The 23,293-nt window shown below is 37.2% G+C and overlaps 1 annotated feature.

Annotated features, from left to right (window-relative positions):
* Positions 4,823–6,022: an enhancer, noted in NCBI's record as "P300/CBP strongly-dependent group 1 enhancer chr5:57030843-57032042 (GRCh37/hg19 assembly coordinates)". NCBI's record gives its function as "activates an origin of replication core promoter dependent on BRD2, BRD4, P300/CBP, MED14 and CDK7 cofactors, with strong dependence on P300/CBP, by STARR-seq in HCT116 cells {active_cell/tissue: HCT116}" and the evidence as "EXISTENCE:reporter gene assay evidence [ECO:0000049][PMID:35650434]".

The following is a 23,293-nucleotide window of genomic DNA, read 5'->3' as shown; positions in this document are numbered from 1 at the left end:
ACACGCTATGATGGATAAATATAATTGTTTTACATTGATAATAGCTTCCTATCCACATGATAATTTGAATAGGATGTGTCGAGACCCCACATACCTAAGATAAAGCTTATCTTATTTCTTTTTGATAAGCAGCATTAATAACATTGTGGAAAAAGCAAGAAGTTAGGAGTCAAATGAACCTGCATTCAAATCCCAGCCTTGTCAAGTAACAGTCTTATGACTTTTGACATGCGATGTTAATCCCTGTAAGTATCAATGTCCTCCTTTGCAAACCTTCGTAAATCCAGGATAATAATGCCTAACTTAAAGGCGCCACATAAAGATTAAATAAGAAAAGGACACATCACAGAGCCTGGCATTTAAATATTTTAAACTTTAACTATGGCTTTTTATTGCCCCAAAGTTTATAATTTACACTGAGCTGATAATCTGTGTTCTTCTGCTTTAGCCTATTTGTGATTCATTTGGTATTTCCTCTATGTCTGTCACACTATTACTAGTAAAAGCTTACTTTAGCTAGTTACTTCGTTACTTAGGATGTTCACTGCAAATGTAATGAGCAAAAGTGAAAATCAGTCACTGGGGCCTTCAGCTTGATATTTAAGCTTCATAGCACCACTGTAAAGACTGTAGTAAGTAAAACACCCTGTGATGTTTCTTAAAGTTGAGGCAAAAGCCAAATGATAGGTGAATAATTTCTTAAGCTACTAAGCTTTCATTTAATTTGTCCATAGGAATCCCACCCAATTCATTCATCCAGCATAATGAATAAAGGTTTCTTCTTCCTGTTTGCATGAATGTGACCCAGTGACCATCAATATATTTTAAAGGATCAAAGAAAGCTTTAAAGAAAGAAACAGTCCTTAAAAATGATTATTTCCTGTTTTTCATTATCATTTTACTGCTTGTTTAAGCATCTCCAAATGACATATGATTACATTTTATATGATTTTGAAATTTGAGCTAATGTAAATGGTGTCATATTATGTATATTCTGTGACTTGTTTTATTTATTTGACAGTGTGTTTCTGAGAGTCAGTCATGTGCGTGTATGAAGTGACCATTTATTCTATTTTGCTACTCTATGGTTTTCCATTTATAAGTACACCAGGACTCATCTTCCATGCTCCACCTGCAGAGTACTGAGTGCCCTTGAGTAGGAGGAAGGCCACGCAATGAAGCAGAGGCCCAGAGGGAGGGAGATGGGCTATGCAGGACACATTTGCCGTGTCTAAGCTGACGTGATGATCATTTTGTTATTACTTATACTGTGTCTAGTCTTCTGTATTTATAAAACACAGAAGAAATATTTTATAATTTCAAAATCAGGGGAAGGATAGAATGTTGCTCTTTGTTATGTGACCCAAAATACATGGCCCTTTCATCAAGGAAAAAGCTTCACTTTACATTGGCATTAATGACACTGGAATTTGGGTTTGTTTTCTTTATTTTTTTCCTTTTAAAAAGTGACCCAAGGTACAGGGAATTAGTTCCTTTTGACTTCTTATGTCATCCCAACCAAATGTGAGACTTAACGTGTGAAAGTCACCTGAAGCACGTGGCATCTAAAAACTATTGGTTTTTTAAAATATATGTTTTAATAGACAAATAATTGTATATATTCATGGGGTATAGTGAGATGTTTTGATATATGTACATGTTATTCATCAATGAGTATCATTGATATAAAAGTAGGTGCCCAATAAAGACTGGAATATAGTAGACATACAAAACATTGGTAAAGCACTCTCACAGACAAAAAGCTGCATATCAAAATGGGAAGCCATGTATCAGAATAACAGGAGAGAAATGGTTGATATAGGCAGACACATAGGGGAAAATATTTATTCATTCAATCAATCATTAAATATAAATCAAGCATGTACTATGTGCCAAAACCTGAGCTAGATGCTGAGGTCACAAAGGTAAATTTGACCCAGGCTCTGCCCTCAATCAGTTTACAATCTAATGCTTACGCTACTACAGTATTTTGCAAATATTTCCACTACAGAAGTCATTGCATCATATTGAATAGGCTGTTTGTCTGGAAACAGTTGCATCTTCAGGGTAGGGCATGCATCTTACTGCTCAATGTCTAGGGTGACTGGTGCAGATAAGGTCTCAGTAAATGTGTATTGAGTGAATCACAAATGAATACTGGATTGCCCCAGAAATCTATAACTTATGGTTGCCTTCTATAGTTTTTCTTTCTTGTAAGATCCCTTAATTTTAGATTTTGCCTTCAGAACCTAAAAATCTTCAAGGCAAAGTTCTCACCCTCAAATCTCATATCCCCAATGCACTACTCTGGCCCTACACACACATGCGTGCACACACACACACATAACCACAGGGAAAAATTTTTTTAATTGCAATAATGACCATTTAGAGCCATTAATGAAAAACTGGAGTTTAACAATGGAATCTCAGAAAACATCCTGGGGAATTATTTGCTTCACTGTCTCACTCTAAAAGACAGCCTACTGGCCCAGCATTCTTGAACACAGAAACCTGAGAGCTCTAACAGAGACTCTGCGTCTTTACTCACTGCACAAATTGACTTGGATAGTGCAACAGACAGATGACCTTTGTACAGTTGAGAAGATCAAAAAATTAGCAAGAAGGGCAGCAGCCTAGAGAAAGCAAAGCAAGGAGAAGGATTTTGAGACCCAGGCTAGAATGTAGCACTGTTGAACAAAAGACAATAAAAAGGTTGGAAAATTGAGTGTGCCGCCTTGTCAAATAATATGACAAATGAGAAAGGAGAAAACAAAGCCTAGGATTCTAATGGTTTAGGATCTCATAGAATACAGAGAAGGTTGACTGATGGGAGTAGAACAGGGAAAAGTTTTTGGGGCAAGAGAGAAGCACCTCTGTATTTACAGATTTTCTCTTGGCTGTTTGTATCCTGATTTATTCACCTTCATCAGCCCTTCCCGTGGGGTCAGCATTGAGCTGTAGGACTGATAAATATGACCTGGATATAAAGATCAGCTGTTTACTATTACTCTTTAGAAGATTTGGTCATCTGAAAATTCCAAGCAATCTAAGAATTTCTGTAGTCAGCAGTCAAAGACCTTAATTAACTGCCCTAATTTCTAGTTTCCAATCCCTGTTGGTCAAAACCCCAGACCTCAGTCTCTGGCCTTCAGTAATAAATTTCTGATATATCAAGATTTTATTTAGATTAATCTTTTTCATTTTAAGTTGATGTCAGTGAATTTGGATATAAGTATTAAGGAACATAATTTAGCATAAATACCCCTGAACTATCAGTAAATGGTTCATCATGTCTCTGTTTATAGGAATGTTTCCAATCCAACTGCTTTATTGACTCTGGGAACAGAAACTGTTTCTTCTACTCTCTTATATATCTGTACATGTCTTTAAGTCTGGCTGAGAGAAGAGTTGGTGCCTAGTAAACATGTTCTGATTTATATTAAAAGAACAGATCCTACTTTTCTCATTAGGTCATCAGAGGATATGTTAAAGCATTGCTTACTCTAGGTATAAGAGGTACAAGAGGTAACTTTAAAACTTATCTTTCTCCTTGTTTAACCCAAGAAAGACTTATCAGACTGTAACTAGTGCAAGTCATGTAGAGAAGCTTTGCCCTGAGCTGGTACACTGCCTCTTAATGGTTTCCAAATAGCCACATCCACAGGACCCCCAAAATAGATCACTGAATCAAACTCGTAGGAGTTGTTATGTAGAATGAACGAATGCATGTTCAAGCAGAGGCTTGGTTTTCTCTCCTTTTCTACTTCTGAATGTGATCTGAATACAGTTCTTAAGTCTAACTTCCTCAGAAGCTTTTTCTATTAGTCAAATTATTTGTTTTTTCTTTATTTATCAAGTACATATTAACTGAACTCCTCAAACATGCCAGGCCCTGAGAAAAGATGTTACAGTTGCTTTCATCCTCAAAATGGAGTTAGAAAAAAAAATGACTTAGGCTATTTCAAAGCATCACGATTAGGATTATGTTAGAAGAAAGCAAAAAGCACCACGCATGCACTTGCAGGGCACCAGCTGGTAGGGAGGTGGTGGACGGTGTCCAGGAAGGCTGTTGTAAGTCCCTGTCACTGTCACTTTGCACTGCCACTAGCCTTTTAGAAATTATTTTGATACTTCATCTGGTTTTGGAAGTAAGTGCTAAAATCTGTTTGGGAATTCATAGCTGAAAGCAGTTGGCAACAGGGCTTTGGAACAAGGCCGGGAAATCACAGCACATCTCTCCTCTTCCTTTGTCAATAGGCTACACAAAGGAGCACTTACAAAACAGTCCTATAAATCACATGTTCTTATGTCTCTAATTGATAATTCATGTGGAATCCAATTGCAGTCAAGTTTGATTCCTTTGTTCTCTTACCTGCAAACATATATCAAAGGATTAATGGCCTTAAAATGGATCTAGGTGCAAAAAAGTCCTGGAAAAATATCTTTGTCTCTCCCTAAATCCCTTCCCTTACTATCTTAAGGGGGCCCCTTTCTTCCTCTTTCTTCTCGTGAACAGATAAATGTCCCTGTGAGATTCGAATTTCCTTTGCCTAGTGAATTACAAAGGGATGAACCTTGAAATGAAGATGTGTCATAGATCACCTGAGCTATGGCATTAAAGAGAAAAGTCAACTTTTAAAAGGAATGAGTGGGATTAAAAAAAGAAAGAAGAAAGGAATTACAGTGTTTCAGGCAGACATCAGATACTTCTCAGGAAAATAGGCATGGAGTTAGTAATCAAAGCTTGAATTTTAACTTTTAAGAGTCTTTTTTGACATAGTGTCTCCCATTCAATCTCAAATAGCTCTAATTAACCGAATGTCGATACTAAAATTTGACTAAATATACCTTGGTCTCCACATCTCTAGACAGCATTCCTGAGAACCACCTACAATTTGAATGGAGTCAAGGAGAGAGAGATACTATGAGAGAACACAATAGGACTGCTTTTTTAAAACATCATCACAAGATGAAAATCAGCCAGGCCTAAAAGAACAATTTTAATATTCCCACTGCCAGGAGAAGAGTTGGTCACTATTTGGTTATTGGGAAAAAAATCCCTAATTCCAAAGGGCTGACTGTAGAGTCTGACCAAGTCTGACCTCTGATTCATCCACCAAACACACAAACCATGAAAAGAAAAACAAGTTTCCATCTTCTGTTACAGAAAAGGGCTCCGGATCCAGACCCCAATAGAGGGTTCTTGGATCTTGTGCAAGAAAGAGTTTAGGGTGAGTCCATACGGTAAAGTGAGAGCAAATTTATTAAGAAAGTAAAGGAATAAAAGAATGGCTACTCCATAGACAGAGCAGCCCTGAGGGCGGCTGGTTGACCATTTTTATGGTTATTTCTTGATGATATGCTAAACAAGGGGTGGATTATTCATGCCTCTCCTTTTTAGAACATATAGGGTAACTTCCTGATGTTGCCATGGCATTTGTAAACTGTCATGGCGCTGGTGGGAGTGTAGCAGTGAGGATGACCAGAGGTACTTCTCCTGGCCATTGTGATTTTGCTGGGTTTTAGCCAGCTTCTTACTGCAACCTGTTTTATCAGCAAGGTCTTTATGACCTGTATCTTGTGCCGACCTCCTATCTCATCCTGTGACTCAGAATGCCTTAACCGTCTGGAATGCAGCCCAGTAGGTTTCAGCCTTATTTTACCCAGCTCCTATTCAAGATGGAGTTGCTCTACTTCACACACCTCTGACACTTCCATTGACTGGGCGATAGGCAACACTTTTCTTTTTCTACAGTAAAAACATGACTTGAAAATGTAAGGATATGTCAGTTCCTTCTCTCGAGGTTGCTGCCAGGCCATACCACAGGTTCTGCTGAACACATTTGTTCATGATCTGCTTACGAGTTTCAAAGTTGGGGAGTCATTTTAAAAAATCATCTGTAATTTACATGCTTTGCCGACATTCCAGAAGGTGTTTTTTTTTCCAGTTAAGAACCATTTTGTCCTTTAGGGCGGTCTCTGAGGGGAGTTTGCTCTGGGTGTTTGTAGCACAGTGCAACTCTGCTATAGTTTCAGAAATCATGGATTGTTTTTCTTCTTGATACGTATCTATAATGACATTTTACTATTTTGCTCTTGATTCAAGGCTATAGCTATTCAATTAAATCTTGAAGTCCCACTTTTATTATCTAAATTTTGGCAACCACAAAAAAACTTCTCTCTACTCACTGTAACCTCCATAGGAAATATAATGCAGAGAATTTATACTTACATGGGAGTCCATGAACAATTAGAGTCTTTCCAACATTTCACCCGAGCATTTCTCCAATAAATTAGTAAAGCTGCCACCCCTTGCCTTCCCTACTGATTTTGGTGAAATTGGAGAGAAAAATTGAGCTCTGCTTTGCACTGGTACCGATCTTTAGCCTCACTTTAATGTCGACAGATGTTTTAGAAGTGCATTCTCCAAGTTGTTAGGAAAATCCTTTTCCCTGAACGCCTGCTGGCAAGTTAAAATTGAACAGTATTCTTTGTCTCTTTCCAATTTAAGTAACAAGTAAAATAACTGTTTTTGTGTCTGGCAGGAATAATTCATCTTCATCACTTCACAAAGAACTCTATCCTTGAACAGCCTGCAGTATGACTATATTGCCAGCAGAAGGGAAACAAGTCAAAGAGCAAAGCAGAAATGTTCCTAGGAAAGATTGCTACTTTTCTATCAAAAATGTGCAATGGCAGAGGTCTCATGAAATGAAAAATACAAATGGTCTAAAAATAAGTAAACACTATCTATCATGCTAAGCCTTTGTGTATCATCCTGCTCAGAGCAAGTAAAATGTAAAATCAATGCTATTGTTGGAATAGGGAAAAATCTCTTGCAGGTGTTGATGAAAACAGAAAGTCCTCTCTGTCTTTCCACTTACCCACCTTAAGTCTCTAAAGTGTCACCTTGATGAAAGCTAAAGGGAAAAACAAGATACAAAAATAACTCAAAAATTGCCACCCTCCACCTGCATCAGTCATTTGGGAAGAAAAGAAAGTGGGAGACTGAAAAAAAAAAACAGATTAAATAGCACAAGATAAACTGAACCCCAGAAAAATGGGAATGTGGAAATAGAGGTATGCTTTGAATTAAAACAAAAGGGAGACTCTGCCCAGATGAAACCAAAAGGTCATCAGTTTAGAGTAGGATTTTTGGTTTCATGATATGTGGCCTAAAATAATGATTATAGTAAAAGCCATATTCAGAAAAATTGTTTATATGAATTTCTTCTGATGGCAGTAGGATTATACTGTGACACTAGACTGATTCTGCAACTTATTCAGTAAACATGGATTAAGCTGTGACACCAAAAGAAATCAAAGGGGCATATGCCAGGCCCTGTGCTAGGCACTAGAAATACAAAGGTGAGTAAGAGAAAGACACCACCCTGAAGAGCCAGCCATTGGGAAAGGAGGAATTCTGAAGTCCGGTAAGCTGATTATATAATATTTCAAAAGAATTATCTAAAGCAGTGGCTCCTCAACTTTAATGTCCATAAGAATCATTTGTGGATCCTGTTAAAAGGGGATCCTGTTATTCAGAAGATGGTGACAAGATCCCCAATGGTGTTGATGTTACGTTGTTGGGCTACATGTTGGGAAGCAAGCCCTAACTCACAATTGATTTCAGCTTTTTCTCCAGTGAGCTCTTTTAGCACATACCCTAATGGCATAGGAATCCAGGAGGGCATTTATTTGACTGTGCTGTGTGTGCTACCCGGGAAGTAAGAGTGGAAGTCTCTGTGGCCTGACTCTGTACACCAAGTCAAGGGAGGCTGCTCTCCACTGCTTCTGAAGCCTTAGGAAATCTACTAAATCTGCTGCAGCAGCAAAGCAGTTTAGTGATGAAAAGGAGCCTCTTGATTGGAAATCTTGCTAAGGGCTAGAGTAGATTTTAAAGTAGATTATAGAATTTCCTTACCTGGGAGTCTAAGAAAAAAAAAAGTGCATAGACTTTTGTCTGCCCTAAAGACGAACATGGTGACTCGGCTTTTTAAAAACTTACCCTACTCTGAAAGTCTAAGAGAAAGAAAGTTTATGAAAGTGAATTTCAGAATTTGTTCAGTACATTCCTATTACAAACATAAAAAGAGTTGGCCTTTGGTCAAATTGAGTGTAAAGATAGTTGGCATATTTAATCAAGATCCTTCCTCTCTAGGTTGACGCCACAGGAGAAAAAATAATCAAAGATTCTGGTATGTTGGCAAAGGTAGCAGGATAATAACTAGATATGAAAATCAACTTTCTTTAAAAAAAAGTGCTTATTTAAATGTTTATTTGAAGCTTAAATGACATAAAAAAAACAGTCAAAGGAAATCCTTGAGCTTTAAGAATTATAGCTTATAAACCAAATATAATGCAAATATATTCATGTCTGCTATGGACCCGACGCTCTCCTACCTGCTGTAAGAGAGCTTAGTCACTTTCCCATTACCTCCTGTTGTTCTTTGTATCAAACTTTTACACTTTAACAGCTCTTTCTTCTCAGCCTAAAACAAGCTTAACCTAGCTCTATCTTAACAAAATAAAAATTTCTACCCTGTCCTCAAATCCCCATACTGCTTACGTCTCCCCTTTTTCAGTCCTTTCTTAGAAAGTTCATCCACCTAGATGTATTAATTTTCTCACTTCCTATTTTTGGTTTTTAATGCCCCTTTTTTTTCAAGCAGTAGAACACTCTTTTTCAAATTAAATCTTTTTTGAAACATCAACACACACATACACACAAAGAACAACTTCACTGGTTGAGAGACGGGATGGAGACCAGAGAACCCTCCTCTCAGTCTTTCATTTACTCCTGCCTGCCCCGTCAGCCCCTCAGCAACCTCTGAACAAGACCCGAGGCTCTGCCCCACCAACTGCTTCATCCATGGATACCTGCCTTTCCTTCTCTCTAAACCAAGGAAATGATCAAAGTACCTAGGATCTCCTAAAGTCAATAGGCCCTTTCTGGTCCATGTCTTGCTTGATTCTCCAAAGTATTCAATACTACAGCCAAATGTGGAATTCTTTCTAATTCCCCTCTATCTGGTTCTCTCTAGTCAGGGCCTTTGCACATTCTGTTTTCTCTGTTCTAATCCCACATTGACTTTCCATCTCACCAAGATTAAAAGCCTAATTTATTTTGATTACGTTTAATCCCCTACTTAATCCACAAAAAAGCCCCCTCCTCTCTGCCTTTGTTTTCATCGGCTCTCTCAATATCTCTAGCCATGCCAGTGGCCTCACCCCTCCTTGACCTCTTCAAGACTCTCCTTCTTGTCTTATTGGTATGGCTTGTTTCATTAGATCCTTCAGGTATTTGCTTAAATGGCACCTTCCTAGGTGCTTCCATCCTCATTTCCTGCCTCACTTATCTTCTTAACACTTGCCATCATCTAACATATACTCTACTGTACTTGCCTATTCTTTATTCTCTATCTCTTTCCCTAGAATATAAGCTTCATGAAAGCAGGAATTGATCTTTGTTTATTGAGTGGTTTGAGAGTATGTGCTCAAAGAAATGCTTGAGAAACTGAATTAACTGTATTTGTTAAATAAATAAATGAATTGATAATTAATGAATGAATTGCTGTCTCCTTGCATGTCTGCTTGAAAAAACCCCTGTATTAATACCTCCAGTCCCATCAGATCAAAACAACCTCCTTCTTGAAGTTTCCAATTCCTGAATCAGGAAGCATGAAGTTCCCCCTGTTTATTTTGCCTCTACCAAAGCTGGTAACTCTCAAAAAGGCTTGTTGCTGTGTGACCTTCATTACTTTGGTGAATTGGTCTTAGGCTAGGGTCCGCCCTCAGTATTACCAGTTCAGAAACTGGATTGGTCATCACAACAAGGTGAGTTCATCTCTCAGACATGGTCTTGAGATGCTCTTGAGATCAATCTTTAAACATGAACACCAATTAGAGTATCAACTCAGCCAGTTTTGTCCAGGACAGTCTTGATTTTAGCCCTGAAAGTCCAGTGTCTGGAGAAAACCCTCAGTCCCAGGCAAGCCAGCATGGTTGGTAGCCTTAACACAAATTTACCTACTGACAATGATGAATAGTTTACACAGAAATAAGAATAATCTAATTTTTTAGGCAGCACAATCTTTTCCTACAGGCACACCATAGGACATGCCAGATCATCATCAGAATGATGTTTTGTGAGCATGGTTTGAAAATAAGGTGAGTTGTGTTGGTCAAAGAAATGTTCATTGGCACCGGGATAAAATAGACTAATGCACATCCATCAGACATTAGAAAACATCCTGACAGAGATTATTTGTCCCAAACTCCTATGTCTTTATCTTCATTAGGCATATCATCACCAATGGGGCCAGCTACTTGAAGCTAGATTTCTATGCCCTGGTGTTTGGGTGGGCACTGCCTCATTTTGCCCACGTGATAAACTTTTTTCTGTGTTTCTGGGACTAATCAATCAACTGCTTGATTCATACACATTTCTGTAAGATGACTTAGTATAATCACACACTAAGTCATTATGAGTTGATTTTTTAAAAATTAATTATCAGACAGCAAATCCTAAGATTTGCTTTTTATCACCATTATATCAATTATTAAGTTTACTTCAGTTGTTTTCTTGGCTCTTTTGACACTAGACTGTGACTTTGTTGGGGACAGGGGCTTTTGCTTCTATCTGTGCACCCCTAGCCAGTTTTCAAGTACAGAGCCATGTTCTTCAGTATTTTCTGAATGAATGGGTGCCTGGGACTGGATAAGGAACCCAATCTCTCCAGAAAAGGCCACTAGTCCCTTTATTTTCTGGACATCATTCCAAGAACCTTTCTAAAATCCATTCTACAAAACACCAGGCCTTCAAGATGTTTCAAAAAAGCTTCTGTGATTTGATACGCATAGGAAATGTTGCATAGTATACCATCTTTCTTGGAATTCCCAAGACATTAGCATATAAAAATCACTGAGAAATTCTACTGTAATGAATCTGTTTAATTTTATTTAAGCTTATGTTTTCCAAACTTATTTAACAATAAACACTGCTTTCCCTTTTTACTCAATATCTATAGAACATACTTTGGTAAATTGATCAATAATTTCTTAATTGCAATTTTAAAATTAAAAAAACTTTAAACACTAGAATTTTTTATGATTGTGGTAAAAACATATAATATGAGACCTACCCTCTTAATACCTTTTAGGTGTACAGTGCAGTATTGTTAACTAGATGCACGTCGCTGCGCAGTAGATCTCTAGAACTTCTTCATTTTGCATGTTTAAAAATCTATACCTGTTAAATAGCAACTGCCCATGTCCCTTTACCCCAGCTCTGGAAACCACTATTCCGCTTTCTGATTCTATGAATTTGACTATTTTAGATATCTCATGGAAATGGAATCATACAGTATTGTTCTTCTGTTACTGGCTTATTTCACGTAGCATAACGTCCGTGTTGTAATATGTGACAGGATTTTCTTCGTTTTTAAGTCTGAAGAATATTCCATTGTATGTATATACCACATTTTATTTATTCATTGATCTGTCAGTGAACATTTAGGTTGTTTTGTTTCCACATCTTAGCTATTGTTAGTAATGCTGCAATGAACATGGGAGAGCAGATATATTTTTAAGATCTTGTTTTCAATTCTTTTGGATAGTGAGAAGTGGGACTGCTGGATCATATGCTACTTCTATTTTTAATTTTTTGAGGGATCTCCATACTGTTTTCCATAGCACCATCACCATTTCATACTCCCACCAACAGTGCACAAGCATTCCAATTTCTCCACATCCTCATGAATACTTGTTTTTTTTTACTTATTTATTTTTACAATGGTATTTATTTTTATATGTATGAGTTGATATCTCACTGTGGTTTTAGTTTGTGCTTCCCTGATGATTAGTGATGTTGAACATCTTTTCATATAGTTGTTAATCACTTTTATGTGTTCTTTGGAGAAATGGCAATTCAAGCTCTTTGCTCATATTTTAATTAAGTAATTTAGATTTTTTTTTTACTTTTGAGTCATAGAAGTTTCTTATATATAATGAATATTAACCCTTTATCAAATATATGGTTTGCAAATATGTCTACCATTCTATGTACAGGTTGCCTTTTCACTCTTAACTGTTTCTTTTGCTGCACAGAAACTTTTTAGTTTTTAGTAGTCCTACAAAGACGTGAAAGACTTGTGCAATAATAACTACAAAACATTGCTAAAAGAAGTTAAAGAGAACAAATAAATAGAAAGGCATCTCATGGTCATGGATTGGGAGAATTAATATTGTTAAAATGGCATACTATGCAAAGTGATCTATAGAGTCATTGCAATCCATATCAAAATCTCTATGGTATTTTTCACAGAAATAGATAAAAACAATCCTAAAATTCACATGTAACAACAAAGGACCTTGAATAAACAAAATAATCTTGAGAGAGAAGAAGAAAGCTGGAGGCTTCGTAATTCCTGATTTCAAAGCATATTGCAAAGCTACAGGAATCAAAATAGTATGGTAATGGCATAAAGACAGACATATAGACCAATGGAACAGAATAGGGAGTGCAAAAATAAATCTATGCATTAACAATCAATTGATTTTTGACAAAGATGCCAAGAACACACAGTAGGGAAAGGACAGTCTCTTCAATAAAACATTCTGGGAAAACTAGATATCCACATGCAAAAGAAATGAAATTAGTCCCTTATTCTTACCATATGCAAACATCAACTCTAAATGGATTAAAGACTTAAATGTAAGACTTAAAACTATAAAACTACTAGAAGAAAACATAAGGGAAAAGATTCATAATATTGATCTTTGCTAATATTTCTTTGATATGATACTAAAAGCACAGGCTTACAGAAAGTTTTTATTCAACTCATTTGATGACAAAAGTTGACTTAAATCAAGGCAGTAAGAACTGATTCAAGGCTCTTCAAGGTTTTTATTTATTTCACTTAGTGTGACTATCTATATGTTTTTCTGTCAGAATATTTATGTGTTTGATTTTGGGTGCTCTAGAGAACAGATGGTCAAAACAATTATAAATTACATAATACATTTGTCTGCAAAGATTTTGAATAAAAGTTGGGGAGGACTTCAACTACATTGTTCACAGCTTCCAAGATTATTTCCAGAGAGATTCCAATCCCTTTAGTAATTATTTTTTCACTTTTTAAAAAAATTAGTTAAATGACTAAAACAGTCCCATATCTGCTATTCATACCTATGTATTATAGGATTAGGGTTTCCTGGGACATGAGATCCAATTATGAACATTCTATCAAGAAATAAAGAGAAATATTCCAGCAGTTCAACATTGCTCTTGCTCTTTCTTGGAAACACAAAGTTCAGAGATTTATGACTTTCTTTCCTGAGTCCATGAGTAACATTTATAAATAAGAAACACATTTAGTTTCCAACAGTTATTTGCATTTCATATTTAGTACAAGTAAACACTTATCCAACTGCATTATTTTCATAGAGTTTGTTTTTCTATTTCATATATACATATATTTCTATTGTGGGGCCTTCAAAAGTATCTATCTAGAAGAATTGCCTAATCAACTAACTGAAAATTTGCTTTCTCATTTAATATGCAGAATATCATTTTATTTGGAATTAAAATATAAGGCATCCTGTGGTCTCTGTCTAGATTGGAAATGGTTCCAGTGTAGTAAATCCTTCAAACTTAGTGTATCTGACTGCAGTGTGAAAAAAAATCAAATTCAACAAGGATTCATTGAGCATGTCTATGACTTAAGTATGTGGGAGAACTAAGAGAATACGACATGCTCTCCTAACTAAATGTGATTATGATTTTCTTAATGGTTGGCAACTCAAATTATTGTGTGGTATATTTGATTACATGCTGAGACAGGGAGAAAAATCTTGAAATAAACTATTGGTCATTTTTTCCTTAAATTTAAATTCCTGACATATTAATATCATTTTTTAGCAATGCTATTCTGCTTCAAAGAAAGGGAAGTCAATAGCATTGGATCCTTACTATCATTCCAATGTTTACAATTCTGAACAATGAATTTATTTTCATCTTATTAACTTTATATTAGTTCTAATTAAATTAGAAAAAATAAGTTGGCAATATTTACATGGTATTAAACTATAAAATTCTAGCTCACCTCTAACTCCTCTTTACTTTTACATTTTAAGTTAAATTCTCCACCAAATGAATCTAATGGAAAGACAATTTTACTCATTTAAACAGAAGTAGGTTAATGTCACTCTGAACACAAAAACAGAGACGCTGCTTTTTCAGTCCCAGCTACTCGGAAAACTGAGGCAGGAGGGTCATGTGTTCAAATCCACCCTGGGCAAAATGGCAGGATTCCACTTCTAAAAAAAACAAACAAAAAAAGGTACTGGTAATATTTAAGCATTGGTTTCTAAAGCTAGATTGTAAGAATTAAAAGAAATTAAGTCTCTATAGTTTCTGGGGCTATAAATTAGTGCTGAGTGGTCAGTACACTTTAAGGAGTTTGTGGTTTCCCAAATTACATGTAGCACCAGACTCACAATATTGCTGACACTCTTCCCTCTGCTAACCCACAGGAAAGTGTGCCGCCAAAAACAAATCAATTCAGTAGCTGTGTAACGTGCCCAGTACCTATAATTTTAATAAAAAATTCCTCCAAAAGGACCAAAACTTCAAAACAGGTACATTTAATGTGATGAATCTCAGATACATTGGATTCTCCTGTCGTTCCTAGGTAATTGTACATTATGCTGGCTTTAAATATAACCATGACCTTATGACAGTCTCCTCAGATGTCTTTGCCACTTTCAGAACTGAAAGGGGTGTCAGATCACTAGGCCAATTTTGTTTTTTAGTTCTTTTTCATTCTTTCCTTTTATTTGATTGTTAAGTTTTACCCATATTTCTTTTCATTCAGGTGTTAAGAGTCTTGGTCTAAAAGTGGTACAGAAGTTTGACTATCATATTTCAAAATTGAGCAAGCTTAGGCCATCCTATTGGATTCCATCTGGCTTCACATTTGGTTCCTGTTTTCAGCTCCTACTTCTCCCTGCCCCTTTCATTGGGGCTGCTGATTTTTACATCTGCAACTCAGCTACACCAACTGCCTGGGCCACAGTAGCAAGTTGACCAACAATCTTAGCCCACCAGCAAGTGAGGTCGACAATTAGTGTCTCTCTGCTATGTGTTTCACATGTGGGTTGCCTGCAGACACACTTATTTGGCATCTGTCCCAAACCACTGTGACACTAACGCAGTCATCAGTTTCTATGCACGGCAATCCAATATCCTTCTAGCCCAGCGGCCTTGCCATAAACTCCAGATTACCTGACAGACTCTGATGTCCAGCCTAGCTCTTGCCTATCCTTTCCTCTGGAGGGCTGGACCCTGTCTATTTTATGCCTAGCTACTTCACAGACTTCAGCTAGAAATAGACTGATTGTATGGGAACATGGCACAATAGTCTGTCTGACATAAATTCCAGCCAGTAGACTGAACATCTTTATACCTTAGGCATGGAAAGTGCTGCAACCAAGCCCAATTTAAAGACAACCTTGGCCAGGCGTGGTGGCTCACACCTGTAATCCCAGCACTTTGGGAGACCAAGGCAGGCAGATCACTTGAGGTCAGGAGTTCGAGACTAGCCTGGCCAACATGATGAAACGCCATCTCAACAAAAAATACAAAAATTAGCCAGGTGTCGTAGCGGTCATCTGTAATCCCAGCTACTCAGGAGGCTGAGGCAGAATCACTTGAACCCAAGAGGCGGAGGTTACAGTAAGCAGAGATCGCACCACTGCACTCCAGCCTGGGTGACAGAGTGAGACTCCGTCTCAAAAAATAAATAGATAAAGCAAGCTTGAACACAGCATACTAGACCACTGGCTACTCATCGTAGTAATCAGCTTCTAGCTGACCCAGTTCTCCAATCCCCCATTTTCAAGAGTGTTAAGCCTTCTCAGCAGTATCCAGCCTAATTCTGAGATCCTATCATACTTCACCCTCAAGCCCTTCAGAAACAAAGTGATACGAGATGCAGCCTCTAGCCTCAAGATGGGACATGATTCATCTTGTAAAATACAGAAGAAATACTTACAATATGTGATTCACATTCCTGTTACTTTAGGCACTGCTGACAGAGACAGACTTTATAAACCATGGGAGAAATACTTTCATTAGAGAACACAAGTATGATTCTAATGAATTAGAAGTTAAGAAAACTACTTGTATACTTTGGGCTTCTCCTGTATTGAATGGTGAAAATGAAAAAAAAATGTTTTATTTTTGCTGGAACCTGACTGTCTATGAGAAGTGAGGTGACTAACATGGAGATATGGGAATAATGTGGATGGAAACCAGAGGGGACTTTTCAGTACCTATAGTGTAACAACAAGAGCAAAAAATAATAGCCAATCACGGCAACCCCATATAGGTGCTACCACTGGGAGTTAGATCCTTCAGGAATGAAAGTTCCTGGGTAAAGTCAAAGAAATACTAAGTTAATAGGAGAGCAAATAAATCATATCTATGACCTAGTGTCATAAATGCATACTTATGTTCTTTTCCTTGCTATATCAGACTTACATTTAATTATTTTTACCAAATTTCCTCTTTCTTTCACACCTACACAGCATGTGTGGGTGACACCTTCTCGGTTTAGTCCATAGATTACAGAGTATGGACACATGATCATGATAGAAGAAGAGGAAAGCTGGGCATCTTCCTGAGATCCTGAGCCAGGAGCTGCAGGCATCAATTGATGAGGCTCTGGGATTCTTCATTTTGGGGAGAAGGTAAGTGTGCCAAAGCTGTCAAGGGTTGTTTTTAGTATGATAGGAACCAAGAGTTGTAAATGAAATCATGTATGAAGGATATTCAAAGGGATGAGCTATGTAAAAAATCGTCATTATTTTTGGCCACTACATATTCAATCCTACTTCTTATGTTTGGGAATTTCTCCACTATAAGTCTTTGGGAGATGCAGGATCTGCCTTCCACTATGTATGCTCGAAGAATTCACTGTGGACTCAAGAGTTAGAAGGACATAGAAGAGAGGACTGGGACAATGGCAATAAAACTGAGTACTGCCCAGGCCTGATGGCTATCACAGGCACAAGCTGCGGCACTTGACACTCAGTGGAGATGGTAAAAGTTTTGTAACATGGTTTTGGGTACATTTTGGGCTGTCTCAGCCCCCAGTTCTCCAATCTTCTTTGTGATTATGTAAACTACTGTATTATGTTTTGGTAAATTCATTTTCTGCTTAAATCAGCCAGAGTCATTTTCTGTTGAGACACCAAAAGTTCTATGTTGTTGTTCTCCTGAGTCCCAGCGGGAGACTCATAGCCTTGAGCTCATAGCCTTGGGTAAGCTGGGTAAGTCCTTCCATGCCTTACATCCTAGAGAATGGGTATCTATTTTCTGTTTCTTATGGCTTTTAACATCATCAGTGATCTAATTGCCATTCTCCTTCCCCACTCCCCTTTCCCTAGTAATTCTTTACCTATGATTATGTTTTGATTGAAAAAGATTCTTAGGGTATAATAACATTAAAACATGCCATACAGTAACATGCCTTGCCAGTTTTGAGTTTGTTTTCTTTGTTTATGACAGATATTGGACATTCTTTTGCATAACAAGCTATGCATTTTCCAGAAACCTACAGAATGTTATGAAATATACATCAGCTACCGAAAATGTATTAGTAACATCTCTTCAAGAAATTAAACAAGTAGGCAGGGTGCGGTGGCTCACACCTGTAATCCCACCACTTTGGGAGGCTGAGGCGGGCAGATTGCGAGGTCAGGAGATCGAAACCATCCTGGCTAACACGGTGAAACCTCGTCTCTACTAAAAATACAAAAAATTACCCAGGCATGGTGGCGGGCACCTGTAGTCCCAGCTACTTGGGAGGCTGAGGCAGGAGAATGGCATGAACCAGGGAGGCGGAGCTTACAGTGAGCCGAGATCGCGCCACTGCATTCCAGCCTGGGCAACAGAGCAAGACTCTGTCTCAAAAAAAAAAAAACAAGTAAAACACAATTTCAGAATGAAGAGGAGGTCTTAGATTGGGACAAGGCAGTATCAAACTTACTTTATTACTTTATATCAATAAATGAGATGAATAACAATATTTATAGAGAGATTTTACAGTTTTTGTATATGTTGTGACAAATATTGGTGTATTAAGTTAAAAGGCTACAAGTCAACATGCAACTGGGATAAGCACATCTTTTATAAACAAACAAATTTTCTGGATAAGTAAGGGTGACCCCTTTAATTATCAACACACTTTTAACTATGATGAAAAAATTTTTTAAAAGTATTATACAACTTTTCTACCTTTCTAATAGGATTTAATGAAACAGAATGTAAACTTTTCTTTATGAAAAGAATCATTTTCATAAACATCAATTATTATACTATGTTAAAAGGGTATTAAGCGGTACGAAGCTATTTGCTACAAGCTATTCAACTTCTATTTCACCTTAATGCCTTAAATTTTCCATTAAGCCTGAAACTCTTACATGCCCTACAAGTCCTTTAAGATAGAGTGCCTGCCTACATCTCCAGCCTCCTCCCAAACATCTCTTCTTGCCACTGTCCTCTGGACAGTTTCTCTAAGCTCTTTCACAACCCAGCTACTTCCTATGCTGCTCCTCTACCAAAATCCTCTTCCTTGCAGAGCTTACCTGGCAACTTCTGCTCTTCCTTCATGTCTCACCTCAATATTACTTCCTCAGTAAATCATTCCTGACACAAGAGCCCAGCACAATGCATGTAGTGGACTTTCAGTAAGTGTTTATTGAATTAATGAATAAAATATCAAAAATAGTAAATTTCACAAACATTCTGGAATAAACATACAATAAGAAATTTTTTGGTGTTTAAATTTTGACATTTAAATATAAATATATCTAGAAAACTAACATGTATACCTATGGACTTGATTTAATGGAAAAAATATACAGTAATTAGAAAATGTGGCTAGGGATCAATTAAACAGTGGATATGCAGATATCCCATGCCCTTTTCTTTTGCTGTCAACATGACAAGCTCTGCAGAAATGACCTGGAGAAAGAGAAACAAAGAACAATGTCTACTTCTTACTCAGGTGCTTTAATGGAGCCTGGGGATGATCGATGGATGTCAGAGATTCATGCTATCCTCCACTTGTCATTTCTATGAAATTAAAAAAAAATTCTTATTCCAACATGAAGGGAAGATGATTAATATTATAAGACTATAATATCTAGATATATAGAATAATGCTAAACATATGGCCAAGTTTGGGGGTTTAATGGTATAATATATTAAGAGTTAAGAAATCATAGGCATGGAGGTCATGAGACCTAAGTTCTAGTCTCATGGAATTCTATGATCTGTGTTCACTTCCTCAAAAAATCATTTTTAATGCACTTATTTGTGTGAGGCATAAGGATAAGAACTGTATATTTGTCTGTGTATAGGAAGTGAGGCCAGATCCTATGGAAGAAATCATATTTATGTATAAATATGAAACCATCTTTTCCCTTAAGTAGTTAATAACCACTATGGAAAATTTGAAGCTATAACAGAAATAGCAGGCACATAGACAAAAGCTAGATTGTGTGGTTCAGCAACCAAGTGTAGTAGGAGTTCAAAGAAGGGAAAAATGAGTGTGGGCTGGGGTTTCTTAGGAAACTCTTGTGGGGGAAACGGAGCTCAAAAATACGTTTAACATTGTTGTAAAGGATTGAAGATCTCATATAACGTTTCACTAAAACACAAATCCCCTCTTCCCAGGAGCATAAAGTCTTTTTCCAATTTTGCAGCTTCTGGAAACATACAAGTATTCCTGAAAGACGAAGGCACTTGTCTAGCCAGCCAGTTTAGTGGAATCAAGCCTGGGTATGAATGAGCTCCAGCTGTCATAACGCCTCTTCACGTGCATCCGTCATGGAGGTAAAGGGAAAGGAACTGACCCTCAGAGAGGACTGAGCTTGGTAGGCAGCAAAAAGGAGAAAGAGTGGACATGGAAGAAGTTAGTGCCATATTTTTGCAGAGCAGTGAGGAGGCTGATAGTCTGGAATATAGAGTTGTGTGGGGGATAGTGAGGAGAGGGTTGGGAAAGCATACTACAACATAGACTTGCTCTAATTAAATCAGAAGTCTAAGCTCCTAGGAGACATGACTGACTCCAGGGCGGGGGCAGGGAAAGTACAGTGTGAGCCTGGAACACTTTATTGCACTAAAAATGAGAGCTGCTGGGTGCAGTGGCTCACGCCTGTGATCTCAACATTTTGGAAAGTGGAGACTGCAGGATCACTTGAGGTCAAGAGTTTGCGACCAGCCTGGTCAGCATGGTGGGTCCCCATCTCTAACAAAATGAGCTTGGTGTAGCGGCACAGCAGCCCCAGCTGCTGAGGAGGTTGAGGTGGGAGGATCCCTTGAGCTCAGGAATTTTAGGTTACAGTGAGCTATGATCACACCACTGAATTCTAGCTTGGGTGACAGAGTAAGATTCCATCTCTAAAAAAATTAAAAATAAAGTAAAAAGCGAGGAGCTGCTCAAAAAATGATGGGAATGTGGCAAAACTATGCAGGAACTAGCCTCAAATGATCTGGAACAATTTGTATATTGTTGATAATGAATTATAACTACTTCAGTGAAACAAAAATCTTTGAGTCTATACTGATATAAATAAGCACATGAATAAACAATTGTATTAGGGAAAAGGAAAAATCCTTCTTTTCAGTATAATGCTAACTAATAAATATGCAAGACACGATATTTGAAAAACATTAATGAATAGTAAAATTAGCAGGTGAAAGTTTGGTAAGAAAGGGTATTTATATAGACTCAAATATCTCCCACAAATTCTGTATTAATTACACAGGGAAACGCAGTAATTAGACAAAGGAAGAATTTGGATGACATCTCACCTTACTCAAGAAATCAAAGCTAACATCACCAATATTGAGACACATGATCATCACATGACTCAATATACTGAGAAAGACACAAAATCCTTTCATTAATATTCTTGCCAAAAATGCATTGCTTGAGTCTATTCATGAGAAAACATCAGACAGAAATGCTCCTGGTAAAAGAAGACTAAAGAGGCATAAAAACCAAATGTAGTATATGATGTTGGATATTGGACCAGGAAAAAGAATAGCTATAATGATATTGGACCAATTGATAACATTCGACTATAGAGAATAAATAAAAGTATTATACCAATGTTAAATTTCCTGATATCATGGTTATGTTAAAAAAAGGCTTTGCTCTTAAGAATTACAAACTTAAGCATTTAGGAGTATGAGGTAATCAATGATGTCTTCCACTTATTCTTGTAAAACTATATTAATAATATAAATTGTGTGTGTGTGTGTGTGTGTGTGTAGAGAGAGAGAGAGAAAGAGAATTACACAAAATGTAACTAATGCCAAAATATAAGGTCACATCCATACACAAAGAAAAGCCAAAATGATGTTTAATTATAAGCCCTGGAACATAATAGGTCATTTATATGGATATAAGAACAGAATTCAATACCTAAACCCCATGTTTCCTCTTTACATAATAGAAAACTGTTATTTTGTTGGAATCAGCAGAAGAAAATGTCAGAAATGCAGGAAAAGGAGTTTAAATTTAAAACAGCATGGTTTTGTCAAAAGTATTTACTTAATCCTGTAAACTTGATGGGTGGAACATGAGGAAGGCATTCTTTTTGCGACTGTTCAGGGGAAACAGAACAAACCCTGGCCCAAATGAATAGGCCTAATGTTTTCCCATGCCAGTTCCTCATCCTGTTGCATGCTCATTTAAGGGTTACTTTTTGTTGCTTCTAACTAAGAGTAAAAGTAAGAAAATCTTTTTGTTTTTAATCACAGAGGGTTTGGGCTTATAATACAATCCTCAGATTCAATCTTACCATCAATCCCACGAGAACAACATCTGGTAATTCTAAGAATTTATGGAGATTAGAATTACTCCTCTTCTCAAGGTCAAGTTTCCATATATCCTGAATGAGCCTCCTCAGCTACCCACATGCTCTCTCATTTTTGGCTTCCCATGACTCCTTAAGTTAAGACTCCAGGGTGAGTTTCTGCCCCATTTCCTGGCTGTTGTCTAATTTCATCTGGGACAAGAACCCCATCTAGGACCATGACAATATTTTGTTCTGCCAACCCTCTCCTTACTATTCAGATAGGTGAATCCTTTTACCTTCGTCCCTGTTCTTGACTGGGCAAATTCTCCAACTCAGAAGTCTTTTCTAGGACTATGATTTGTGACCCACTTGCTCTTAGGACCTTTTGATTTATAGATATTTGTGAACTCAGGTTAGGGTATGCTACCTCTCTGTGAGACAAGACTATACCTCCTAGAATAATATGGAAACACCTAGAATGATCTGGAGACTTCAGATAAAAGTTTTCTTCAGGGAGTTATTATATTATCAATCCTGAAAATAAATTACAGAATTTATCTAATTTGGTTTCTTTTGATTGGAGATCTTTGCAATATAGACTCCTCTCAAGTTCCTTGATCTCTGCTGAATTTTCAGAAATGCCCTGATAGTACTTCACTCATTAACAATTATTAAGCAATATCCAGTTTTTCATTTATTCCTGTAAATATGGAAGGCTACATTTCCCAAACTTCTTGCAACTGGATGAGGCCATTTCGTAAGTTCTGGCCATTGAAGTGTAAATAAAATGACGCATCCACATTTTGTTGAACTTTGAGTCACAAGATCAAAGTAGCCTGGATCAGTGAGCAGCCACAGGAAGGACAACTACCCTGGAGAGTTACCCAGATTTTCAATATATTTTATGAGTGATATTTAAATCTTTGTTGTGTCAAGTCCCTAAGATTGGACAGTTGATGATTCTTGCAACACAATCTAGCCTATAAGGATTAATGCAAGCACCAACCATATGCCAGCCTCTAGTAGGTACTAGGAATAAAAATCAAATAAAATAAGGTTCCTGTTCTCTAAGAGATTATGTCCTAGGGAGGAATTCAGATGCAAATCAGCAATTGTTTTACAATAAAGTATTTGTGACATTAAATATATGCATAGGAAACCCAGAGTATGGCAAACAAAATAAGGAATAAGAGTTATAAAAATCTTTCCTGGATGTGGTACAATAAGCTATTTTTAAGGATAAAAAGGATAAGAAAAAAAAAGGCATGGACAAAAAAGGACATGAAGACGGGGAAATTGCATGAGAATGGCATGACATCGTGAAACACGATGACATATTCTCACCATCCCACCAGAGAGTGACATGCACAAGTGCCAACTTCAGTAGCCTCATGGCTAGTGGGTGCAGCTGACTAAT

Source organism: Homo sapiens, chromosome 5 (assembly GCF_000001405.40).
Source record: "Homo sapiens chromosome 5, GRCh38.p14 Primary Assembly".
In the NCBI taxonomy this organism is placed as follows: Eukaryota; Metazoa; Chordata; class Mammalia; order Primates; family Hominidae; genus Homo; species Homo sapiens.
The sequence above is the reverse complement of the archived record's forward strand: the minus strand, read 5'-3'. Positions and strand labels throughout refer to the sequence as shown.